The 17,935-nt window shown below is 41.4% G+C and overlaps 1 annotated feature.

The window, feature by feature from the left end:
• Positions 691 to 1,232: an enhancer, noted in NCBI's record as "OCT4-NANOG hESC enhancer chr2:119287395-119287936 (GRCh37/hg19 assembly coordinates)". NCBI's record gives its function as "activates a minimal SCP1, AML or CMV promoter by ChIP-STARR-seq in naive H9 embryonic stem cells {active_cell/tissue: H9 hESC(naive)}" and the evidence as "EXISTENCE:reporter gene assay evidence [ECO:0000049][PMID:30033119]".

A 17,935-nucleotide genomic window follows, 5' to 3' on the forward strand; every position in this document is an offset into this window, starting at 1 on the left:
CTTTTTTCCACACCAGGCTGTGCCGAGGTCTGTGTTGATGCTTAATAAAGTATCTACTGCTAATATTAATGTTACTAACTTTTATTTATCAAACACTGTTTGTACACAGGTATTCTGCATGAATTATCTCAGTTAGTTCACGTGACAGCCCTGGGAAGCAAGTAATATTCTAGCCAATTCACAGATGGGAAATAGGCTCAGAGAAGTTAGGCTGACCTTGCATGTCCACAGCCAGTAAATACAGAGCCAGGACTGACCCTCGGATCCTTACTTGTCCATTTATTACTGAGGGGACTCAGAAGACTTCAAATCCCAAAGAGATAAATGACTGATGATAGGATTTGGGGCTCCAGTAGGTGTAAGGATAGGGATCCTCCATTGACCTCAAATCACAGCGCGGGTGGTTTCTCACTCCTCTGTACAAGGGCAGCTCTGAACTTCAAAAGTGACTTCAGAAGTAGAAGCCTGCTACAGACAAGGCGGTGAGTAGGTAGAATGCCAACAGTCTGACTCCATCACTTACTTTGAAACATATTTATAACATTGCAACTGAGTCATGGTGCACTTATTCTGCACCCCAAATTTATTCCTCATTCATTATCCTAGTCAGGCTGTGATGTGTGGCTAATGCAGACAATAAATACTTTCTTTGCTAATGACCAAAGATGAACCCCTTCTAAAAGGCACCTAAAAAAAGTACACAGGCACCAAGTTGCCCAGATTCATGGGCAAGTTATGAACAATATTTATCATTCTTATTGTATTTTCACACTTTTTAAATGAAAAAAAAAAAAGGCTCTGTTCCTTTAAGGCTTCTACACTTTCACTCTCTGTAGCCCCTCCCTTTTGTCCTTCCTATTTTGGCATTTCATTTGCAAGAAGTCTCCATCTCCCTTATTTACATGTGAAAAAACCTGGAGCATCATGTGGTGAGGGTTCAGGCAGACCCTGAATTCCATTCAATTCTCATTTCCTCTCTGACAGTCACCATTGAATCAATCATGTTCTCCCTGCCCTCTCTCTGACCACCTCGGAGATCCCAAATCGCTTTTCATCTCATGTGTCAATCACCCTCAGACCATGTCCACTTTTCATTACTAACACGCCATCACATGACCTGCTAATCTGTCACTTTCTGACAGCGGTTAGTGTGCCAATTGATTTAATTAGCAATCAATTAGCTTGTTACTATTGGAAGTAATTACCTTTTATAGAGAAAAGAGTGCAGCTGGTGAGGGCAATAAAATTGCAGTAATAAAACTGCATCTACTCCCCTCTGTACCAGCGAAGTCTCTACACTCAGGGGCTGGCCAAATTATGGGTGACATGCACATCTTTTGACTAGTCTGTAGGGATGTATTTCCCCTCCTTATTACATGCAAAGCCACTCTGTCATTGATATTCCCAAGAATTTGTATTTTCAGGGGAAGATTGGGTTAATGATTTATGCTCAGCATACACTTTTCAAAAGGCCTATGTTTTGGAGCAGGAAGAGAACTTGGAAATGCACCTAGACCCTTTTTTCCCCCCAAAAATGAAATTATTGAGGTCCAGAGAGGTTACATGATTTGCCCAAGGTCACACAGCTAGCTAGTGCTGGAGGTCTGAGGAGAGACCAGCCTCCTGATTTCTAGGCCTTGCTCTACACACCTGGAGGCGGGCTCTTTGCACCACTCCTGCACTGCAGACTGGAAGCCTCCATCTAGGACCAGCCCTGTCTGTGAGGGGAAAAAGAATAGAAATAGTCAAGAGGAAAACCTTCATGGCCTTGAAGATAAAAGACACTGGAATTTTACAGAGTCACATTTTAAAACCATATGGGGAGAAAACCAATGAGATGTGGGCATGGTGCAGTCTTGGGTGGCATAGAAGTGTAGACATTTTGGCATGGTTGCCTTTTCTTGCATACACAGACTTCCAATGTACCCTCCACTGCTCCTGACCCAGGGCTACAGTACATTTCCCACACTTTCACTATTAAATTTAACCTCCAAACTGGTCCCCAGGCGCATGATGACTCGCTACATTAGCTCCACGGTGAACAGCAGAAGCAGTAATGAGATGACTAAGGAGACCCGGATTCCATTCATCATCCTGTTTGCTCCAATATAAGTGTTCTTTTATCAGCACTATTGGTACTGATGTCATCGCAGGAGGCATAAATCACCTCACCAGTGACAGGGTCCTATTAAGGGTCACGGCCTAAAATCATTATTGACAAATTAAGGATCACACTTGGCCATTCTGTCAGCATGCCCTCAATTGGGGGTGCGGCCTGGTTCCTCGTATCTGGTCAGAAATTAAACAGTCATTTAGAGTCCTGAACAGCCATGCAAGTTAATTCGAACTCCAGCCACCTCTTCCCCCTCTCTCAACTTTGAAAATCACGCAGTAGACTTTAGCAAAACAAGGCACTCCTCAGCGAAGTCCTGTGTCCTTATCGTGAATTCTCATTCCAGCAGCAGTGCGGACGTATTACTTGGCATTACAGAGTGCATACTGCCACATCCGGCCTTGGATCCGGGGCAGGCAGCCTGGGACTTGTCAGTGATCACTGAGAATTTTCATTTGAAATTCCATCACCTTTGTCCACTGTCACCATCTAATGTGACTGCAGAGGACTCTTTTGGAGTGTGGATGAGATGGAGATGAGGCTTGAAATGGTGAGGAGTTAGTACCATCATTAAAAATATAAATTGACACCCCAAATTAAAAGAAAATGTCTTTTCCCAAAATACTTGACAAGTTTAGTGCCCTTATATTTTTTAGGATGAACACCGAGGTTGGCTCCACAGCTATCTCCAATTTCTAAACCAAAACTGGAATGTAGTCATTTAATGAATACTACTTGAGCATGGAAGTGAATTGAGCACTCCTAATCCTCAGATCCTTGGCAGGTTCTTAGTTTTCCAGGAGTCGTTTTAGGTAATATGGTCCCAAATGATGCTGAAAGATGTTTTTAAAAGGTCTGGATAAATAAAGAGCCATATCAGGTTTGTGGTTCGGAAGAGTCAATATGGTCAAGAACTCAGTTTGCTCCAAATTAACTCACAAACTTAATGTAACTTCTACCAACTTTAATGGCATATTGTCTCTGTGTGTATATGAACTTCACAAAATGATTCTGAAGTTCATATGGAAGAATAAACAAGTAAACCTATGCAGGATAACTCTATAAAGAGTGATAGAGGGCTCCTTGTCCCATCAGATTCTAAACTGTTTTACAAACCTAGAATAATCAAAACAGTGTGGCAGCAGCACCAGAATATATGGGCAAAACAATGGAAAATAAAAGGAAACACAAACATAAGATTTAGTACATAATAAGGTAGTATTTCAAATGATAGAAAAGAGATTAATGATTTGATCATTAATATTATTTTCATGATTAACATTTTGATAAATGATTGCATTAGTAATTCATACCTTATAAAAACTTAAATTCCTTAAAAATATAAGTGTAAAATATGAAGCGATAAAAGTGATAAAGGTACCCACAAGTAAAAATTTACATAATCTGGGGAAAGGGAAGGACATTCTGAACATGACTCCATAAACAAAAACCACAAAGCAATAAAACTGAAAGATTTAATTACATAATAATATAAAATAGCAAAAAATTAAAGCTAAAATCAAACCGCAACCTAAAAATACATAAAGTAGACAAAGAATAGCTACTCCAGGAGGAAACAAAAATAGGCCAAAATATAAAAAGACTATTTACTAAAAAAGAAAAATAAATAGCCAATAAATATAAAGATCTCACAAGTAACCGAGAAAATGGACTTAAAACAAAGAAAACAATTTTTAAAATACATTATCACTTATACAATTGAAAAATTTTAAAAGCAACAATGCAAATACTAGTAGATACATGAAGAATTCAGTATATTCATGTGTTACTAGTGAATATATGAATTGTTACAATATTACCAAAAAACAATTTGATGAACCACCAGTTGTTCAAAAGTACACTGTCCTTTGACCCAGCAACCCAACCGCTCAAAATTTATCCTAAGGAATACCTCAGTAAATAATGCAAAGGTGTTCTTAGCAGATTGTTCATGAAATACCATTTCAAACGTTTTAATAATTTGCAAAGAACTTAGTTTTACAAAAGTAGAGGATAAGGATGTTCTGTACAATATTCTTTATTATAAAAAAAATGGGAAGTAAACTGAAAGTTCAACAGTAGGTCCATAGTTCAATAGATTTAGATCTAATGATATGGAAAAATGTTCACAATCTTTGTGAATAAAGAACACATTGCAAAGCATAAACATATACAGTTTTGCATAAGGGAAAATATATAGGGGTGTGTGTGTGTATACACATATGTGTGTATATGTACACACACACACATATATATAAAATTAAAAACTTTGGTAGACTTTGATCTGAATATCCTCTTTAGTTTACTTCAATTTGAATATGGTTATGAGTTTGGGTATCTTATATTAAAATTTTTTCTTTCTTGAAAAGCAGTGCAAATGATAATTTTGCTTATATAGGCAATCTGCACATGGAAAGAAAATATTAACTAGCAATGTAATAAAGAAATGATTTCTTTGGGGGCCTTAAGCACAAACCTTTAAATTTGCACTGTTTCCTTGTGGAATTATTTGATCAAACTGAAATTAAAACCAAGAGATCTCACTGGCTCTGGTCAGCCTTCCCTGTTACCCCAGATAGCTGCTAGAACTTTCCAATCATCTGAAAAAGCATAAAGCAACAATTATGATAGAAACCTTGGAGGGAATACATTCATTCATTCATTCATTCACCTACTACGAATTGAGCCCCTTTGTTTATCTCAGTGTACTTCCTGGTGGGATAGGCTGTTTTTAACCTGTGCTCTACTCCAAACACACAGACATAGCAGAGACAAAGACCAGGACTGGGTACTAGGAGAGGGAGGGAAGAATACCAGAACCAAAGCTTACTGCAAAAAAGGCCCAAGGCATGGCTCCAGGAAAAATAAATCTAACCATGAGCATCAGCAACATCTGAATTTTTGAGCTGGATTTTTGTCCCATTCATCCAAGAATCTTCAAAACTTATGTACATAATATTTTTGATGCATTCGAAAAAGGAGGTACAGACTCATCTAACCAACAGAGCTGAGATTCTTCATTTAGAGGCCAAAGAGATAACTGACCCTCTGTGGCCTCTAAGTGAAGAATTCTGGCTCTGTTGGTTAGATGAGTCTGTCCATCAGAAGTAACTTCTTTTCTGAGTGGTAGTCTCACCTCCCTGCCTTGGCGAAAGGACTGGGGTCTAGATGGGGGAAGTGTCTATGGAGCAGAAACTGTTGACATGGAGTTTCTTCCCACCTTACTCCAAAGCTGATTCTGGGATCTGGAATGAGGGAGGCCCTTTGCATCGAGCAATTGAAGAAGGGAGATGGGACTGGTAAATCAGAGGTCACCCAAATTGGGCAGGAGGCCCAGCACAAATATTGATGACTAGGAGATGGAGGTTGCAAACTGGAAAGTTGGAGACAGGAAATGTGGATTAAGATAATGTGAGTATCCAGAGGGTCATTTGGGGCCAACACCTGTTGGCAGGGGTTATTGCCTTTGGCTAGTTCCTAACCTCCCTGTGTTGTGATTTCCCAAGTCCCACCTGGAATAATCTTTACTTAAATCAACTTCCTTTTCCACCACATTGATTTATTTAAAATCAAAGTTTTAATTTGTATTATTACAACAGTTAAAAACCAATCAGATTTACCATAAAGAGATGGAAGCTGTACAAGTACATACAATAAAAACCAAACGTTGATATTGAATTGCTTCCTGTTGAAGGCTCTGAACCTAGAGCTCACTATCTCTTTGTTAAGAAGAAACTTGAGCCTGCATTAGACAGGTGTTCAAGACCAGCACAAACAGAGACTTTCTCCTTGAGCTTATCAGAAGGACAGAAAGAACATTCAAAAGGGAGCCACTCTTGCTTCTCTATAGGATTCAATGGCTTTTAGCTTGTTCGTGTAACACCTAAAATCACATGTGGTGTTGACCAAAATTATCTTGTGAGTCCCCCATAATGTATCCTTCTTTCTTAGGACACACTGCGTGGAGGTTCAGGGACTGGCAGCACTCAAAGGCTGGAAGAAAGGTGCACTGAGACGCAGGGACCCATGGCACCCTGAGCCCACTCTCCATGACTGACAGCTGCAGAGGTGATGGCTGGCCCCATTTGCCCAGGGCACAAAGGCATTTGAGGGAGGACCACAAAAGATAGGCTGTGAGTGGATGTGCCCTTGTAAAATTTTGTGCAAAGCCCTCAGCTCAGAGCCCATGGGACATAGGTAGGGTGGGCTCAGTCATGTCTGCCACTGGTATCAGACTTCACTTGGAGATTTGGAGCCCCGGTTCAGTAGGGCAGGAGGAGGGTGTGGGAGCTCTGTGGCCTGAGATTTCTATCTTTACCTCTTTCCTTCACCTACACATTCCATCCTGCAGTGGGTAGCCCCGGTGAGAGGGAAAAGGGAGTGTTTGATATCATCTAATTCCAGTGGAGGGCGTGACTTACCTGGACTACAGAGCTAATTGGTGCTTCCTGCCTTGCCGAAGGACACAAGCATGTTTCCAGCAGTGCTGGTCCAGCCCCTGTTTGTGCTCCATGGGCGCCAGGTGGAGGAGCACCTCTGGTTGTCCCCTGGGAGCAGTGGCAGCCATTGACCTTGAGATGAAAGGACACAGATGGTGGCAATGCTATGATCACCCTTGGGTTTAGGGAGCTCTCTGACAACACAAAATTGCAGAGGATATTCACTTTTCTTTAAAGAAAAGGAAATGAAACCTTCATTTCCAGTTACTTAGTTTCAGTCTCAAATCCTTAGAACCGCCTTCTAAAACAACCGACCCCCACTTTGCTGCCTGCTGGGCCTGGCCCTGATCCATTCTGCTTCTAGAGGAGGCACAGAACATGGCCCATCCCTCTTATTCCAGCCACAGTTCAGGCTCCTGCCCCCAACCCATGCCCAGGATGAGCTGGGAGGGCTTGAACTGGTCATGGTCACATTCTGCCTCCATCTCCACTTCTGTGTATGGAGGGAGATGCATTATCGAAATTCCCAGGCTTTCTCCGCTCTCAAATCCTAAAAACAAAGGTGCAGAGAGAAAGAGGGAGGAAGAGAATGAGGAAAAGAAGTGGTTTCTGGAAAGGACTGAAGGAGATAAATATGAGAGGCATCGGGAAATGTGAAGTGGGAGCACGTGGCATCACACTCACCTCTCCCATGTGCTGCCATACAGGGGCTTCTTCACCAGCCTGCCCTGCTCTGTTACCAAGTACCAGAGGCCCTGGAAGCTGTCACAGCACAACTAGGGGAAGTCAGTTTGCCCTGGCTGACACTGTCCACCTCATTCAGGGCCCCTCCTGGATGCTGGATCTGCTTCTGTTCTGCTCTGAAATGTCAGTGCACACATGCACTGACTCTACTCTCTGCCCCCAAGACCCTTTTGAGGGAAGGGGCTTCACCGTTTCCACCTCTGCATCATCTGCACTTAGCACCATGCGTGGTTCCTCATGGGGGCTGAACCAATGATGAGTGAATGGATGAAGAAATGAACAGGCAGATGGTGTGAATGCATTCAGAGAATGTAGAACTGTCTCGGAGCCATGATGGCTTCAGCAAGCACTCAGGTTGATGCCATCAGAGGGCTAAACCAGAAAAACGTCCTACTCTAATTGCACCACACTGATCATTAGCCCAGAGGCACATGCATCCTTAGCAACTTAGTTGAATTCAGGACCCGACCTGCTATTTGGTCATTAGTGAAGAAGCCTGGTGCCAGGCTCATGATATCTCAGTCTTCTCTACCAGGTTTTACTGATGGCAGGAGAGAATAAGTCCTGGGGTGGTGCTCAAAGCAATTATTTTTGGGATGCTAAATTTTATTATTAAAAATTAACTCCTATTTTGCCTTATACTAAGAAAGCATGCAATAAAGAATAATATCTTATAACCCGACACCTTTTTAAGTTATTTGCATTAAGAAATAAAATTCCTCTTCAGTCCTCATTCCATTCCTTGAAGATAATGACCTATAACAGTTGCTGTATATCTTTCTCAATGGTTCCCTATGCGTGCATTGATATACATGTTTATCTTTCTTTAAAAAATAAGATGATGCTATGCATATCACTCTGCAAATTGCTTTTTTCTTTATCAATATATGGGGATCTACTTTATTTTTGTTCATGGCTATCTTGCTTTCCATTGAATGAATACACCACAGTGAATTTCTCTATTCTTCTATTAATGGACATTTATAATGTGTCCAATTTTGTGTCAGTGTTCTTTTGTTATTTTAAACAATGCTGTAGTAAACATCCGTATATACTTAACCTTATTATTTTTATAGTAATTTCTGTTTAGGAGATTCTTATATGAAATATGCTGGCTCTTAAGCATATTTTAACTGTAATAGATGTACTCAATTGTTATGCAAACAGTGTCCTAATTTATACTCTCACCAGTAAAATATGAGAGTGCACATTTCCCCACACACTCACCAGTATTCTGTGTTGTCAATTAAAATTACATTTTTTGACAATTTGGTAGGTACAAAATGTATCATCATTCTTTTAATTGCATTTAAATATTATTTAGGATATGTTCATTTTCATATACTCATTGTCTATACATATTTTATAAATTTATTGGTTATATTGTTTGCCACTTCTACTGAATTATTTGGTTTTTATTATAGGAGATCATTACATATTAGAGAAATTGACCTTTGCGTATTAAATATGTTGCAAATATTTAGTGATATCTGCTACTCAGAAGCTTTCCCTTTTATCTGGCAAATCATCACTTCTTTTCCTTTTATAATTTCTGAGGATTGTGTCTTGCTTATAAAGGCCTTCCCGGATCCCAAAACTATAGAAAACAGTGAGCGTTGTAGTCATACAATATTTTCATAGTTTTATATTTTATGTTTGTATTTTGTATCTATAATCCCTGTGGATTTTTAAAAATAGAGTGAAGTCAGAATCTAGTTTCCCTAATGGAAAAACAGCTGTTATTACATCATTTACTACATAATCTATTTTTTCCTTCACTTTTGAAATATATTTTTAAATGTGCTTTTCTCTAAATATTTGAGGAAAATTGAGTCTCGGATAGTGGTTCTCAATGTATGGTGCAGGAAATTCTGGGAGTTCCTAAGATCCATTCAGATCAAAACCATTTTCATGATAATATTAATCAACTCATTCTCATTCTTTCATGAATGTGCGCTGGGGTTTTCCAGAGGCTGTATGGCATATGTTGATGTCATTGCTCTGATGGTTAATGAAATGCGTGCTCATGTATTCCTGTGTTTCAAAATTTTCAGTTTTAATTTCTAATAGGGTACATTTTGATAGCTATAACTCACATAGCGAAAGCTCTTTGGGATTCTTAATAATTTTTAAGAGTATAAAGAGGTCCAAGACCAAAAGTTTGGGAACCATTTATCTAGGAAGAGGTAGCATGTTTGCTTGTTCGTTTTGAGATGGGGTCTCACTCTGTCGTCCAGGCTGGAGTGCAATGGCGTGATCTCGGCTTGCTGCAACCTCCGCCTCCTGGGTTCACGCAATACTCCTGCCTCACCCTCTTGAGTAGCTGGGACTACAGGTGCCTGCCACCACACCCAGCTCATTTTTGTATTTTTAGTAGAGACGGGGTTTCACCATATTGGCCAGGCTGTTCTCGAACTCCTGACCTTGTGATCTGCCCGCCTCAGCCTCCCAAAGTGCTGGGATTACAGGCGTGAGCCACTGTGCCCAGCCGGTAGCATGTTTATTCTATGGCCTTACATTTCCCCTAGCACACCTCTGCGTTGTCCCAGAGTACCCGTGCTCCACACTGAGAAATGAACAGTGAAAGAAGGGGTAAAAAGCACAGCTCCACAAGGGTTTTTGCCCTGTCCCTTGTCACCTCCTCTAATTAGTTCTATCAATTTGAACAAGTACTTTAGCCCAAAACAGCTCCTAGAATGTATTATGTCAACGTCCGCCTCTTAATTTACAATTCATCTTTTTCAGATTGAAACACAATCATTTCTGTTTCCTGAGATTTCAGGTTATTTGAATTCTAAATAAATGGGAGCTACCTTAGTCCAATTTTATTTATGGTTTTAACACATCCCATTCCTTTTTAAGAAAGACCAGGTGTATGTGGAGGTGACTTTGTTTTACTGATCAAGACATGCAGTCAAGCTCCCTGGCTGAAGGTCTATGGTCATTTATTTTCTGGCAGGTGCAGCAGTCTGCACCATGGGTTAGACGGACTGGAAGCAGCAGGGATCGGGCCCCTTGAAACTCAGCCTGGTGTCCTTGACTCATTGGCAACTTACAAGCCTGCCTCATGGCAGTCAGCCCAGCCAGCAGGGGGAGATATAATAAGACGGGAAAAGACAAAGGCCATTAGAATCTTAAAATTCAGAAGGCATCTCAAATATTGTCTAGTAACGCTTATCGTGCGAATGAATTGTCAAAAAAAAAAAAAAAAAACGCTCAACAAGCAGCTTAGCACACTTAAAGATTTTCTTTGACAGGAAGCTTACTAACTCATAAGACAACTCTCATTGTTAAACAGCTCACATTATTATCTCTGGTTAGAATGAACTTACCCTTCCTTCTCCACTCATTCTCATTAAGCCTTCCCTGACTCTTCCGCCTCCAATTTCTGTCCAGGGGGTTGGAGGCTCTCCCTTGTGCTCCTGTCACACTTTTGCTTACCTTGACTATGCATTTAGACAGAGAGTATTAGTTGCCTAGGCCTGGTGTATCAAATTGCCACAACCTGGGTAACTTACAACAACGGAAACTTGTTCACTGACAGTTCTGAAGGCCAAAAGTCCAAAATCAAGGTGTTGGCAGGGCTGTGCTCCTGCAAAAGGCTCTAAGGGAGAATCTTTCCTTGGCTTTTCCAGCTTCTCCTGGCTGCTGGCATTTTTTGTCTTCCTTGGCCACATCACTCCAATTTCTGCCTCTGTCTTCAATGGCCTTTTCTCTATTATCTCTTACAAAGACACTGGTCATCAGATTTAGCACCCACCTGGGTAATCCAGGGTGATGTCATCTCAAGATCCTTAACTTTATATCTGCAAAGATTCATCTTTCAAATAAGGTAACATTCCCAAGTTCCAAGAGTTAAGACAAGGACATATTTTGGGGGGAGCCACCACTCAATCTACTGTACAAGTGGGGGTAGCAAAATGGTCACCCTTAGGTCAAATCCAGCCTATAGATATCTGTATTTCTTTTCCTGCATGTTCTATGCATTTGGACATTTCACCTAAATATCTGGAGTTCCATCTTCTTTGGACAAATCAAAAGATCTGCAACACTGGACCTGCCTTCCCAATGGCATCCATCAGGGATCTGAGTGCACGCTACACACCCTAGGAGACATCTGTATTATCCGGTTCACCCAGTCCTTGCCATTTCCCAGACCATTTTACCCACTTGAACCTGACTTGACCCATCAGGTTCCCCTAGACATTTAACTTGTGACCTTTAATTTAGTCTCTTTTAATCTTGCGTAGTACATAATAAGATGGTATTTCAGGGGAAGATTGGGTTAGTGATTTATGCTCAGCATACATTTTTCAAAAGGCTTATGTTTCAGAGCAGGAAGAGACCCTGGAAATGCATCTAGACCTTTTTGCCCCTCAGAATGAAATTATTGAGGTCCAGAGAGGTTAAATGACTTGCCCAAGGTCACACAGCTAGCCAGTGCTGGAGGTCTGAAGAGAGATCAGTATCCTGACTTCTAGGCCTTGCTCAACATGTCTGGAGGTGGCCTCTTTGCAGCATTCCTGCACTGCAGACTGGAAGCCTCCATCTAGGACCAGCACTATCTGTAAGGAGAAAAAAATAGAAATATTCAAGAGGAAAACCTTCATGGTCTTTGTCCATGAATGGGACAAAAATCCATCTCAAAAATTCAGCAGTTGCTGATGTTCATGGTCACATTTCTTTTCCCTGGAGCCATGCCTTGGGCCTTTCTTGCAGTGACTGCGTCAGACTTTAAGTTCTCTTATTTGACTTTATATTATCAGTGTCTAGGACAGTGCCTGATACAAAGTAGCTGGTCAAAAACATGTGCTGGACTAAAGAATATAGAACTTACACTGGAGAGAAATATGCTTTCCTTTAGCTCCTATCTATAAACAGCTCTTGTCTTATATTCAGCAACAGCACATTTTCCTTATGAAAACCCTTCACATTTAAGCAATATGTAACACAGGAAGGGATACCACAGTTGCACTAGCTTTAATACTGATAAATCTCTATAAACAAAGAAAAGTGTTTTAGGTAAGATTTGGTTTATAAGTAAGAAGGGCCTGAAAAATGGTAACTAAATCAAGGTAGGGATTATTTCTCTATCATGAAAAAGAAATCTGGAGATATGCAGAACAGGAGTGTTATGATGGCACTGTTAGCTCATCAAGACGGTGGGAGGCTCTTGTCTTTTCCAGCTATCCTCAGTATGCTGCTTCCAGTTTGGTTATTATTCCTTCAGATATCGTTTCTGTGCCATTCCCTATTTTTGTTATTTCTGGGACACTAATTAAATATATATGTTAGACATTTTCAAACTGCTCTCATGTTTCTCTTATGCCGTTTTCTATATTTTCTGCAGTTTTCTCCTCATTAGTATCAGTCTGAATATTTTATCTTGACCTGTGTTCTGGTTCACAACTTCTCTTACAATATGTCTAGTCTGCTATTAATACTTTGTATGGTGTTCTTAATTTTAGTTACTTTATTTTTCAGTTTTAGAATTTCCCTTTAATACTTCTTTACATCTTTCAGTTATCTGCAAAAATTTCCCATCTTGTCATTGAATTTTTGTTGCACACTAATCACATTTACTTTAACATTTTTGCCTAACTCAAATATCTGTTCCATTTACAAATCTCTTTCTATTGTCTATTTTCTCTTGGTTTTGGCCATGTAGCCCCTTGTCTTCTGGAAGGCCTGACAAATTTTTATTGAATATTGGATATTGTATGTGAAAATGATAGAACTAATTTGAGTCCAAAATGATGATATCTTCCTCCAAAGAGGGTATACTTCTATGTCTGGCAGGCAGTTATGGTAGGGGCTCTTTACCCTATTACAACCAGGATTGAACAAATTTGAAAGCTGTGCTTCCATTTTTATAAGGACTAACTTATCTCACCACCACATCTAGAGTAGAACACTAAGGGGTTCCAACTGAAGCCTGGGGTGTTTGCCATGACCCCTCTTGCTTTATGACCTAGACTCTAATTTCTGGCTATGCCTCTCTGCCTTATAAGATTGGAAGCTCTCTTCAGCTGTCAGTATCTCAACCAATGCTTTTTGCCATTTCTCAGCCTCCAAACCACCATGCTGGAGGAGACAAATGATTTAGATGGGAGAGGGGCAGTGAATTTTCATTCCATTCCCTAAGAATCCCATGGACATGAACCTACATGGATGCAGTGGGTAAAGTGTGAAGGAGATGGGAGAGGATTCCTCAGTGAACTTCATGCCCACCATATGGGAGATGGTAGAGTTTATCAAGGACATCCTTGGCTTTTGTGGCCTTTCTCAGCACACCCAGATCACCCTGCTTAAAGCTGGCACCTTTGAAGTGCATGACCCTTTGTACTTCTCACTCTCAACTGTGGCAGAAAGTTCCAGCAGAAAGGCCAGAGATATCTGGGGCACGGTGACTCTGTACTTAGACCCTCTGACTAAGGACAGAAGCATCCCTTGCACCCCTGCCCTTTGGTTCCTTCAATCCTTGCTGCCTTGATAGCTCCCAATACCTTCAAATAGGTGTTTTGTTGTTATGGTTTGGGTGTGTCCCCACCCAAATCTCATCTTGAATTACCATGTGTTGTAGGAGGGACCTGGTGGGAGGTAATTGAATCATGGGGGCAAGCCTTTCCCATGTTGTTCTTATGATAGTGAATGAGTCTCATGAGATCTGATGGTTTTAAAAAGAGGAGTTCCCTCGCACAAGTTCTCTGTCTCTTTGCCTGCTGCCATCCATGTAAGATGTAACTTGCTCCTTCTTGCCTTCTGCCTTAATTAGGAGGCTTCCCCAGCCACATGGAACTGTAAGTCCAATTAAACTTCTTTCTTTTGTAAATTGCCCAGTCTCTTTATTAGCAGTGTGAAAATGGGCTAATACAGTACATTGGTACCAGTATAGTGGGGCACTGCTGAAAAGATATCTGAAAATGTGGAAGCAACTTTGGAACTGGGTTACAGGCAGAGGTTGGAATAGTTTGGAGGGCTTAGAAGAAGACAGGAAAATGTGGGAGAGTTTGGAACTTCCTAAAAACATGTTGAATGGCTTTGACAAAAATGTTTATAGTGATATGAACACTGAAATCCAGGCTGAGGTGGTCTCAGATGGAGATGAGGAACTTTTTGGGAACTGGAGTAAAGGTGATTCTTGCTATGTTTTAGCAAAGAGAGTGGTGGCATTTTGCCCCTGCCCTAGAGATTTGTGGAACTTTGAACTTGAGAGAGATGATTTAGGGTATCTGGTGGAAGAAATTTCTAAGCAGCAAAGCATTCAAGTGGTGACTTGGATGCTGTTAAAGGCATTCAGTTTTATAAGGGAAGAGAGCATAAAAATTTGGAAATGTTGCAGCCTGACAATGTGATAGAAAAGAAAATCCCATTTTCTGAGGGGAAATTCAAGCCAGCTGCAGGAATTTGCATACGTAATGAGGAGCTGATTGTTAATACCCAAGACAATGGAGAAAATGTCTCCAGGGCATGTCAAAGCTCTTCACAGCAGCCCCTCCCATCACAGGCCTGGAGGCCTAGGAGGAAAAAGTTGTTTCATCAGTCAGGCCCAGGGTCTTTCTGCTGTGTGCAGCCTAGGGACTTGGTGCTCTTTGTCCCAGCTGCTCCAGCCATAGTTGAAAGAGGCCAACGTAGAGCTGAGGCTGTGGCTTCAGAGGGTGCAAACCTCAAGCCTTGGCAGCTTCTCTCTGGTGTTGAGCCTTCCAGTGCACTGAAGTCAAGAATTGGGGTTTGGGAACCTCTGCCTAGATTTCAGAAGACGGATGGAAATGCCTGGAAGTCCAGGCAGAAGTTTGCTGCAGCGATGGGACTCTCATGGAGAACCTCTGCTAGGTCAGTGCAGAAGGGAAATGTGGGGTTGGAGCCTCCACACAGAGTCCCTCCTGGAGCACCAACTAGTGAAGCTGTGAGAAGAGGGCCATCATCTTCCAGACCCCAGAATGGTAGATCCTTTGACAGCTTGCACCGTGTGCCTGGAAAAGCTGCAGACACTCAATACCAGTCTGTGAAAACACCCAGGAGGGAGGCTGTACCCTGCAAAGCAAAGCCACAGGGGTGGAGCTGTCCAAGACCATGGGAACCCACCTCTTGCATCAGCATGACCTGGATGTGAGACATGGAGTCAAAGGAGATCACTTTGGAACTTTAAGATTTGACTGCCCTGCTGGATTTTAGACTTGCATGGGGCCTGTAGCCCCTTTGTTTTGGCCAATTACTCCCATTTGGAATGGCTGTTTTTATCCAATGCCTGTATTTATCCAATGCCTGTACCCCCATTGTATCTAGGAAGTAACTAACCTGCTTTTGATTTTACAGGCTCATAAGTGGAAGGGGCTTGCCTTGTCTCAGATGAGACTTTGGACTGTGGACTTTTGGGTTAATGCTGAAATGAGTTAAGACTTTGCGGGACTGTTGGGAAGGCACGATTGCTTTTGAAACGTGAGGACATGAGATTTGGAGGGTGCCAGGGGCAGAATGATATGGTTTGCTGCATCCCCATCCAAATCTTATCTTGAATTTCCACATGTTGTGGGAGGGACCCAGTGGGAGATAATTGAATCATGGGGGCAAGTCTTTCTCATGCTGTTCTCATGATAGTGAATAAGTCTCACAAGACTTGATGGTTTTAAAAAGAGGAGTTCCCTTGCACAAGCTCTCTCTCTCTTTGCCTGCTGCCGTCCATGTAAGACGTGGCTTGCTCCTCCTTGTCTTTTGCCGTGATTGTGAGGCCTTCTCAGTCACATGGAACTGTAAGTCCAATTAAACCTCTTTCTTTTGTAAATTGCCCAGTCTCAGGTATGTCTTTATCAGCAGAGTGAAAACAAACTAATACATTTGTTTTCAAAAAAAATCCCAGCTTTTGTAGTTGTTCTTAATAGGAAAACCAGTCTGTTAAAATTAGGTCCCAGTACTAAACGTGGGAACAATTTAAGTTTCAAAATCACCTTGTGATTGTAAATGGCTGCAAGTCTTCCAGCCAGTTTATGTCGAAGGCCTAAAGCAAGAGGAGGCATCAGATAATGGCCTTCTTTCCCTTTAAGGAGTCTTCAAAGAAGTACTACACAATAAGCTGCTTACATCTCATTGGCCAAAATTTAATCATGGGGCCACACTGAGAAGAAGCAGAAGCCAAGAAATGTGGTCTTTTCACTTAGTACACAGCAGTCCAGTTAAAACCAGGCTGTGCTGCCAAGGGAAAACAGGAGAATGTATACTGGGGGTAAGCAACTAACACTCACCACCAAAAGCAATGCTCTGAAAATAGTCTTTGTGGGAAATTTTGTAACTTGGGTTAGAAATAACTTAAGAGCTATAAGTATAAGGTTTTTTTGAGAGTGTGAGAGCAGGTTACAATATAAAAATTTACTACATTTATTAAAAAATGATATAAATAATGTCTGATTAGCATAACACATACAAATGCATATCAGGGCAGAAGAAGAAAAGATGGCTTTTGGTATATGTGATTACAAATTTAAATGCCTATAACCATCAGGCTGATTATTAAAATGAGTGGAATGGGTGCAGGGTAGAAAATGCTGCGTTATTTGTGCTAGTGACTGGGCAGAGCTGAGTGGGGACCATTTTCCCTCAATGAGCAGGTGCTCCCCACTTTGCCACAATCTCTAAGGTCTCAGACCATTGAAGCTGGGTCTTGATTTGACAATGGATGCAACTAATCGTGGCAGAACGAAGCCTGGACATTGAGCTGGTTTCTCAAAAAGCTATCTTTAGAGTGCTAGGAATAGTGTCTAGATGCTGGCCTGCCACCTGCTTTCTAACATTGGGCATGCTGTTTAACCTCTTTGAGCCTCATTTTCTCTACCAGAAAGGCAGAAATAATCATCATAGTAAAAACCTCACAGGATTGTGGTGAAGCTGAAATTAGAGGACAACACTCTTCCCAGCAGGCACCTGCAGCAGGTCAACAGGAGATTTGTCCTTCCTGTGCTTGATTTCATGGATGGGACAACATGGCAGGGAGAGCCCAAACACCTCCTTTTGAGGGCACTTATTGTTCGGACAAGTGACTGTCACCTGTCAGGTGGTGCCAATCATATGCAGGCTTAGGGATGGCAAACCTGGTGGTCTGGGCCCTGATAAGTCCTCTTTGTTTTACCCTCCTGCTTATGACTCCTCTTGGCTGGTTCCCAAATCTTCAGTATTAGATTGGATAATCCCACTTTTAATAATGCTCAGGATATTTGCCTCCCTCGGGGGACTGCGATCACAGCAGTGGAGGGTATTAAAATGGAGCTGAATGCCATGCGGAGCACTTACCCTTTAAGCTGTGTGTATGTGGGCACAGCGTTTTGCCTGTGTGCACACAAGGGATGTGTGTGTGTGTGTGTGTCTACGTGTGTGCATTCTCTTGGCCTTCTGAGACTTTTGTGTAAACAAAATATCACAATGAACACCCAGTTCATTTGCAATATTAAAACAAAGCACTGCAAAATCAGTTTAAAACTCAGGTTTCCTCAATCAATAAGGTTATTAACTTCCAAATTCTGTGTTTTTATTTCTCCTAAATGGCATTAGCTCAGCCTTACCCTTAAGGGTACAGTAACACCTCATGAGACCTCAGAAACACTAAGTTAATACATAGTTGAATTTATTCAAAGTTATTTGAATTGTACTT

Source organism: Homo sapiens, chromosome 2, assembly GCF_000001405.40.
Source record: "Homo sapiens chromosome 2, GRCh38.p14 Primary Assembly".
In the NCBI taxonomy this organism is placed as follows: domain Eukaryota; kingdom Metazoa; phylum Chordata; class Mammalia; order Primates; family Hominidae; genus Homo; species Homo sapiens.